The sequence below is a fragment of the Homo sapiens genome, chromosome 9 (genome assembly GCF_000001405.40).
Source record: "Homo sapiens chromosome 9, GRCh38.p14 Primary Assembly".
Classification (NCBI taxonomy): Eukaryota; Metazoa; Chordata; class Mammalia; order Primates; family Hominidae; genus Homo; species Homo sapiens.
This window is the reverse complement of record NC_000009.12, coordinates 41,572,956-41,582,649: the sequence shown is the minus strand read 5'-3', so window position 1 is coordinate 41,582,649 and position 9,694 is coordinate 41,572,956. Positions and strand designations below refer to the sequence as shown.

The 9,694-nt window shown below is 34.9% G+C and overlaps 2 pseudogenes; one reads left to right on the top strand and one right to left on the bottom strand.

Annotated features, from left to right (window-relative positions):
• On the bottom strand, positions 3,464-3,747 carry RN7SL565P (RNA, 7SL, cytoplasmic 565, pseudogene; annotated as a pseudogene).
• On the top strand, positions 9,044-9,138 carry LOC124900281 (uncharacterized; annotated as a pseudogene).
• Positions 9,139-9,694: the final 556 nt, after the last annotated feature.

Genomic DNA, 9,694 nt, shown 5'->3' with positions numbered 1-9,694 from the left:
TTGTAGAAAAGGGTCATTATTAATAAAATACTCAAAATATGGTAAATTTTGCATGATGATTTAATATATGCAAATTGACAAGTGATGTGAATAGTACATTTGAATAGAGAAAATATGTACATAAATGAATGGTATTTCAGAATCTAAGCAAATTGATGACTACATTATGTACTTGTCCCCAATGTAAATGAAATATTAATTAGAAAACTTTTTTTTTCACTAAAGGGCTGAACATAAAGTGTGATGGCAAATTGGTGTGTTCTTGTATTTCTTGTCTTTGGGGATTCTTTTCAGTATATTTTCACTTAATGTTTTAGCAACATTTTTCGTCATCCTTTTACACTTATAGCTGGACTATGCTTAGTGATAGAAAATAGTTATATAATGGGATTATACTTGGCCATATGAATTTGATGGTATGAGTTAATCTGTGTTTCATCTTACTTGTGTCTACTTGTAAGTCATTGATGCTAATGTTATTAGTAATTTTTAGAGGGTAGAAATGTTTTCTATATGACATTTTTGAGAAAAGGAAGTCAATAAATCCCATTTGATATGCAACAGAAATAAAGATCTCTTATTTCAATTTTAAAATGCTTTATAACTTACATTGCTTTGTTTTATGCATTATTTGTTTTGATCAGATGCAAAATGAGTCAGTAATGTCATCTAACCACAAGTTTGATACATTTTTTTAAAGAAAAATTTCCAAAATACTTTAACTGAGCAATAGGCTAATACTTCATAAATTAAAATATTTAAATACTCAATCTTTCTGAGTGGATATTTGTTGCATATCTGATAACTTGGCCTAATTCTGTAATTGGGATGAGAACTACCCAATTTTATTGGTAACCTCTTTTCTGCTCTGCAACTTTGGAAATACTATGGAGGACTCCAAATTCATTTGAGACAAAAATATTAAAAATGTATCCCCTGATTAGGATTTCAGTTCCAAAGCTCTCCTTGGAGGGATATAGAGCTGGAGAAAATCACATTTATTTTTCGTCTCTTTAATATTGATATATAAAAGTCAGGTTAAAATTAGTATCAAATTGGGAAGCCTGCATGGTAAACCGGCTGGAATAATACACTCTGCAATATGAAGGAAAAAGGAAAAATTTAGTTGATTTATTTACCTAACTATAATTTTTTAAAGAATTTTAAGTTTCTAATAAATTTAACTATAAATTTTTAATTTTCTATCTTTCATTTAGTACCATCTATATAAACTTTTCCAGGCTACTTCTCTGAATCACCTGGCAAAATCTTATAATTTACCACCTAATTGAATAAAACACACACACAAAATAATCTATTTTGAATAATAAACATCATTTATAATTATCTTGTTGAGATTGAGAGTAATCATCAGGTGTGGAAAAACTATTGAGGAAATTTTAACAATTTAAAATGTAATAATCTTTTTTGTATTATGTGTGTTTTATACTCAGAAGTGCATATGTTTTATAAAATTATGTGAATTTATAAATGTGGTCAATATTAATATTAAATTGTATCTTTTAATAGTATCTTCAATTATCTTTTTTTTTGCTGCTGGATTCCATTTAGAAAAAAAATGTTCTATATAGCAGTGTTGCTTTCTTTTTCTTTTCTTTTTGCTTTTCTTTCTTTTTTCTATTGATAAAGTATTTACTTGATCTTGGGGAAGAGGTATATAATCAAGTGACCACATTTTTCTTTGTTACATATTATTAAAAATTTATAATCAATCTTTCCAAATTGTAATCGGTCTGAAACCCATTTGCTTTACTCAAATTATTTAGTGACTGTAAAAGTTTCAGAAACATATGAAAGTTACAAATTAGCTTTAAATGTGTCATGTTTAAAGCAGTTGTTTTAAAAGCTAAGTCATTATCCATTATTATGTAACTAGTATTCTAAATATCACATCTTTGCATTGTTTGACTTTTAAGGCATATGAAGTGTTTTGGATCAGAGAAATCATTTGCTTCACATCCCTAAGAGACAGACTCTATGGGTACTGAGTCATGCTAACAGTGGCAAAACCTGACAAACAATAAGCATCTTTTTCAAATATTTTAAACATTTCACATAAAAATTTACTTTTAGCATACATTGCAGCCATCGAGGAAGCCTAAAGTAAGGAAAACCTCAGTGAAATATGATGAAGTTAATAAAAAGAAATAGCCATCATTTTATTTGTTTAAATTGCCATTATCTCTCATATAATTATGTACAATATATAACATAGGATAATTAAGTCAAACTGTGTACCTACAGATATGGAGAGCCTTATATTTTAGGAAAAAGTAAAATGTAAATTAACTGGTAAAGATGAGCTTTTCAATCTATAAGGCATAGACACTTTTCCTTGGTGGATTTGAAAAGGTTCTTATAAATCTGAAAATAAGATAGTTTTTCTATAATAAATGGTAAAAAACACTTTCACATCTTAACCTTATCATAGTATCACAATGCTGGAATGTTTTTACTAGGAAATAAGTAAGCTAATTCAATTATAAATTGCAGTAGAGGAAAGGATGAAGGTTAAAAAACACTATTCAAATCCTTAGTCATGAGGTTGAATTCATTGAATCAGAGTGTGAATATATATCTATATTTGAGACAGAATGTGTATGTATGTGTGTGAGTGTGAGTGTGTGTGTACAGTCATTAGACATTTGCCTCATGGACAGTGGAGGAAAACATTTGCTGAGCTGCTTTCCTACCTTAAAGATTTACAACTGCACTGTTTTCAAGATATACTTTCTATATCTCAAATAATTTAATATATTATGTTTAGTTGTTGATATAACAAGATATCTGAATACCCCATAATTGAAATTATACCTGGAAATAAATACTTGAAATACTTGCTTCAGTGACATTTGTGGAAGTATACTTATTTAAGTTCAAATTATAGGTATATTGAACAAAATGATATTGGATTCTTCACTGGCTGCATACTTCTGAAACTTGTAAATAATTTGAAATTAGTTTCCAAGAACAGAAAGACAAATATTAGATAGGAAATACCAAATTCTTAAGATTCATACATATAAAAGTGAAATAAAAATCAAACTTAATCTTATCATGAATTTTCTACTGTGGCTTAATTTTAGAACTTGTTATAAAAATAGAAATGCTATTAATTTAATTACATTTATTAAAATCTAAAAATAGGTGATTATAGCTAGGACATTGACAAATGTAACTATACATGAGTAAATATAACTGAGGATAGCAACACATGAAATATATCATAAAATTGAATTATTCTATAAATAGTATTAAGTCTGTATTACTTGGAACTTGATTCCACTTAGAATGTCCCTGCTTTTATTTATTTATTTATTTTTGTAAACAAAATGAACAAGAGGTTATTACACTTCATTCACTGAGAAAAGGTAACACTACATCAAAGATAACTCACATACTTGCAGAAATATGGAAGGTAGTTCTTTCTTTTTTTTTGTTAAGAAATAGGGTCTCACTATGTTGCCCAGGTTGTAGTGCAGTGACTATTCAAAGGGGTCATCCCACTACTGATAAGCAGAGGAGTTTTATTCTGCTCAATTTTTGAGTTGACCACTCCTTAGGCAACCTGGTGGTCTTCTGCTCCCTGGAAGCTAACATATTGATGCCAAACTTAGTGCAGACACTTCATCAGCATAGTGCATACAACCCAGAACTCCTGGGCTCAAGTGTTCCTCCCGCCTCAGCATCCTGAGTAGCTGGGACAACAGGTGTGTGTCACCTGGCTGAAAGGTATTTTTAAATACAAATGTTGTCCAGGAGTGACAGAAGCTGGAGAATTGGACTACTTGATGGAGGCTTTGTACAAGCTTTGAACAATAATAACAACAAAATTGAAATGCCAAAAATATTGTTTAATTAGCAGTTAACCACCAATAAAAGGAAGCCAGCCATTTCACACAGAGGATTTTGTTAATTGATTGCGTGATTCAAGGAAATAATATTATTAGGTGTGTATTAGTCCATTATTGCATTGCTATAAAGAAATACCCGAGATTGGGTAATTTATAAAGAAAAGAGTTTCAACTGACTCACAGTTCTGCATGCTGTACAGAAAGAATGTTGCATCTGCTGGGCATGTGGGGAGGCCTCATGAAATGTATAACCATGGTGGGAAAATGAAGAGGGAGCCGGTGCTTCATATAGCGGGGAGCAGGAAGAAAAGTGAGAGGTGAGGAGGTGCTACACCCTTTTAACAACCAGATTTCATAATAACTCACTCACTCACTATCATAAGAATAGCACCAAGGAAATGGTATTAAACCATTAAAAAGAAACCACTCCACAATCCAATAACCTCCCATCAGGCCCCACCTCCAACACTGGGTATTACAATTTGACATGAGATTTGGTTGGGGACATAGATCCAAACCATATTATTTTGCCCTAGTCCCTCCCAAATTTTGTCTTTCTCAGTTTGCAAAATATAATCATGCCTTCCCATCAGTCCCTCAAAGTCTTAACTCACTTCAGCATTAACTCAAACATCCAAAGTCTAAAGTCTTATCTGAGATGAGGCAAGCCCCTTCTGCCTAAGACCCTGTAAAATTAAAAAAAAAAAAACACCCAAGATATAATGTATAATGGGGGTACAGGGATTGGGTAAATACTCCCATTTCAAAAGGGAGAAATTGGCCAAAAGTAAGGGGCTACGGGCCCCATGCAAGTCTGAAACCCAGTAGGAAAGTTATTAAGTCTTAAAGCTTAACAATCTCCTTTGACGCCATCCAGGGCATACCACTGCAAGGGGTGAGCTCCCAAAGCCTTGTGCTGCTCCACTCCTGTGACTTTGCAGGGTTCAGCTCCCACAGCTGCTCTCAAGGGCTGGTGTTGAGTGCTTGCACCATTTCCAGGCACACGGTACAAGTGCTGGTGGATCTACCATTCTGGGGTCTGGAAGATAGTGTCCCTCTTCTCATAGTTCCCCTAGATAGTGGTCCAGTAGGGACACTGTGTGGTGGCTCCAACCCCACCTTTCCCCTCTTCAGTGCCCTCGTAGAGATTCTCCATCAGGGCTCTGACCCTGCAGCAGATTTCTGACTGTACATCTAGGTTTGTTCATACATTCTCTGAAATCTAGCCTCAACTCTTGTACTCTGTGCACCCTCAGGCTTAATGCCACATGGAAGCCATCAAGACTTATGGCTTGAACCCTCTGGAGCAGCATCCTGAGCTGTACCTGGGCCACTTGGAGCCATGGCTAGAGCTGCAACAGATGAGATGCATGTAGTAGTGTCCCATTCTTCCTTCGTTGTCCTCTGAGCCTGTGATGGGAGGAGCTGCCGCAAAGGTCTCTGAAATGGCCTGGAGGGTATCCCTCATTTTCTTGGCTATCAGCATGTGCCTTCCTTTTAGTTAAGCAAGCAAGTTTCTGCAGCTTGCTTGAATTTCTCTCCTGAAAATGGGCTTTTTGTTCTACCACATGGCCAGGCTGCAAATTTTTCAAGTTTCTACACTCTGCTTCCCTTCTAAATATAAGTTTCAGTTTGAGGTCATTTCTTTGCTCACACACATCAAAATAGTTTGTCAGAAGTAGTGAGCTTACCTCCTGAATGCTTTGCTGCTTAGAAATTTTTTCCACCAGATACCCACCAGAACTTGAGATACTCTCAAGTTCAAAATTCCACAGATCCCTAGGGCAGACCCACAGTGCAGCCAACCTTTTTGCTAATGCCTAACTAAAGTGACCTTTGCTCCAGTTCCCATTAAGTTCCTTATCTCCATCTGAGACCTCCTCAGCCTGGACTTCATTGTGTGTCTCTATCAGTAGCTTGGTCACAACAATGTAACAAGACTCTAGTAAGTTCAAAACTTGCCCTCATCTTCCTGTCTTCTTCTGATCTCTCCAAACCCTTCCAATCTCTGCCCACTATCCAGTTTCAAAGCCACTTTCACATTTTCCGGTATGTTTACAACAATATCATATTCCTCTACCAATTTTCTATATTAGTCCTTTCTTACATTGCTCTAAAGAAATACCTGAGACTGGGTAATTTATAAAGAAAAGCAGTTTAATTGGCTCATGGTTCTGCACGTTATACAGAAAGCATGATGCATCTGCTGGGCTTCTGCGGGGGCCTCAGTAAGCTAACAATCATGGCAGAAGGTGAAGGGGGAGCCAGCACTTCACATGGCTGGAAGCAGGAAGAAGAGTGAGAGGTGGGGAGGTGCTATACACTTTTAACAACCAGACTCACAATAACTCACTCACTGTCACAAGAACAGCACCAAGGAGATGGTGCTAAACCATTTAAGAGAAACCGCCCAATGATCCAATTGCCTCCCAACAGGCCCTACCTCTAACAGTGGGACTTACAGTTTGACATGAGATTTGGGTGGGGACACAGATCCAAATGATATCAATGTGTTAAAAGGAAAAGGAGATAGCAGTGGGAAATGGATATTTAACTTCAGTTTATGAGTTTTTATTTTAGAGTTCTAAAATTATGTCTTATACTGCCTATACAAGTGCTAGAATAGTTTCTGTATTAAGTGGTAGATATTAATATCCAAATATCATACTTACCTTCTTTGACCTTGCAGTTTAAGACGGCATTTTAAGAAAGTAAACAAACACATTGATTTTTTTTTTAAAGGAGACATTTTTCAGTAAAGGATATAAGTATGTTAACATGAGAGATATAGAAAAATTACAGATGGACAGACAATCCTACATAGAAACCTAAGGAAGTATTTAACTCAGACACAGAGATTGAGAAGAGTAAAGTGGGTGAAATCTGGGAAAGAATGCTTCCAGTAGAAGAAACAGAATATTGAAGGAACAGAGATTGATGTCAAGAGTTCAGGGAAACAAACCAGAATAAGAATGTTTAGACAAAAGGCTGATGGTAGAAGGAAATTAAGACTGAAAGTTATAGAGAGCACAGGCTTACTCGAAAATTAGTAGACAAAAGAACATCTGTAAGTTCAATCATGAAGGAGTGCCAGAATTAAAGAGAAAATAAGGAAATAATAAAGGGAATCTTTTGATGTGAGGAACCAATTGGGCTACCAACTCAGCCTGCCAGCCTGCCATTCCAGTGACAGTAGGAAATAAATGTTCTGTAAGTTATTTGGAAATTAGAGGACAAAGTAATTGTTTGTTCTATAGGTAGAGAAGCATTTTTGTAAATGATAATACAGCTGTTCTACCGATTTCTCTTAATTTTCAAAATTTTTGAAGGGGTACACATTTTCATGATTTGTTCATTCTGATTTCCAACTCATATTTGTTCATCATTTTCTCTTTACTTTTTAAAAAGTTGAAAGACATTCGTGTCACAAAATTTTCACAGGATAATTTTTCTAGTTGCAACTGTAGATTTATGTGGATATATACAAATCTCTCTAGTGACACATCTAAAGATTAATGTTATGTTCTGTTCCATAGGGAGCAAATATACCACATGAAACATTGCAACTATGAATCCAACTAGACTGTATGGGAAACATATATTGAAAAATAAATTAAAATTATAAGTTCTATGAGAAAACACAAACATTTGAGTAAAAAAATGAGAAAGGTTTAGTGGTGACTTCTTCCCATGTTAGAAAAAAGGATTCATAATGAACAACTTTTTTTTCATGTATTTCCTACAATTGAGTAAAATAATAGGACTAGGTAAGTTTACTGGTTTGCATTTTTTCATCTGGGTCTGGTTTTTCATTTCAATTGTTAGCCATTGTATTAACTACTTTCACCATTCAAAGGAATGAATGATCTGCCATAGTATTTTCTGCAGTTCCATCTCTTGTTTTCAGTATCATTCCAATTCTGCATCTATCTAATTTTGATCTCTGTTCTATTTATTTTCCTGATTCATAACATTTTGCTTTGTGCTGAGCTCCTAATTGTCTCTCTGTCATTCTCAACATTTTAGCCCTATGGTCTAAAAGATGCCCAAAAGAATGTAGCATATTCTAGTATATCAGTGGGACAACATAAACAACTTGCTTAATTGTTAATCTATTTAAAAATGAAACAGTGTTTTTCATTTTTTCAATCAATTTAATGCTGACTAGATCCTATAACTACATTCTACTTTTTATAACTAAAGAACTCCAGAAAAATAAATGTAATAGCTTTGCTGGAAAAGATTAACCTTACAGTGCCTTCCTAATGCCCTTACTTTTTTTTTTTTTTGAAAAGTGTTTTCTGGTACACAAAAATAATATTCTGAAATATCTCTCTGATATTTGATTGCCGGATTTAACCTACATACCTCTGAACCTTGGTTTTTCAGACATGCAAACTGCTTAACAAGTTCCAATGCATTAATCAATGCACCATTGCATAACTTACAGTAAGAAAAGTTGGTAGATATTTCAGCAATGCCATAAAATATGCTTCCATTTAACACTTTGAGACAACCAATACACTATTTATATTATTGAGACAAAACAAACCTAAGATCACAGAAAAATATTTATTTTAATAGAATGGTATTTAAGTAGATAGTTTTTTTGTTGTGTTTTTGTTTGTTTGTTTGTTTGTTTGTTTTTGAGATGGAGTCTCCCTCTGTCGCCCAGGTTGGAGTTCAGTGGCCCAGTCTTGGCTCACTGTAACCTCCCCTTCCCAAGTTCAAGCAGTTCTCCCTGCCTCAGCCTCCTGAGTAGCTGAAATTACAGGCATGCACCACCACGCCTGTTTAATTTTTGTGTTTTTAGTAAAGATGGGATGTCACTATGTTGGCCAGGCTCGTCTTGAACTCCTGACCTCAGGTGATCTGCCCACCTTGGCCTCCCAAAGTGTAAGTAGATAGTCTAAATGATTATGGGTTTCAATAGGTTTTGTTAATTTGTTTTAGTTGACATACAAGAGCACTACAAAACCACATTATTTTATTTTAATTTTTACCAGTAAACTTCATTATATTAAAGGCCATATTGCCCACTGAATATGATTTTGATAAGCACAACTTCTATAATTTACAACTTACTGTATATGGTCTAATATAAATTACATTTAGCTATCTTGAATAAAAGATACGAATCGCCAAAAACTTAATATATAAAATAATTTCTACAATCAATTAAGCCACATGGGGCCTGGTGTGCAAGGGCTGCAAACAGCAGCATCCTAGGTAGTGTGCAGCAGCCTGTTCCTTGCGTACAACAGCCTTTGCCATTGGACATTTATGTCTTGGATCTAGTGCTTTCCCTAGTCTAGGTTTAAGACCGGATGTAGTATGCCTTTGGAAAGCCTCAGGACCCAGAGGTCAGAGTTCACATTGGCCATGTTCATCCATACCAAGCTGCAAACCCTGGAGCATGTGACTGAGGCCTTATTTAGGGCCAAATTCAAGTTCAGTGAATGCCCAAAAAGCCACATCTCAAAGAAGTGCGATTTTACTAAGTTTAATGCATATACATTTTAAGACTTGGTGGCTGAGAAACAACTCATCCTGGATGGCTGTGGGGCCAAATATAGCCCTGGAATCATGGGCCCCTGGACAAGCAGCTAGCCCTGCATTAGAAAAGAGCTGCCCCCTCTTTACGCATGCCCACCAGTGAATTCTATTTCCTGTACATCTAATAAATCAATCTATTTATGTATCTATCTATCTATCTATCTATCTATCTATCTATCTATCTATCATCTAAATAATTCAATAATATGCAGTAGATTAAAAAAATAAACACAACTTGATGTCTAACTACTGTGGATATATTT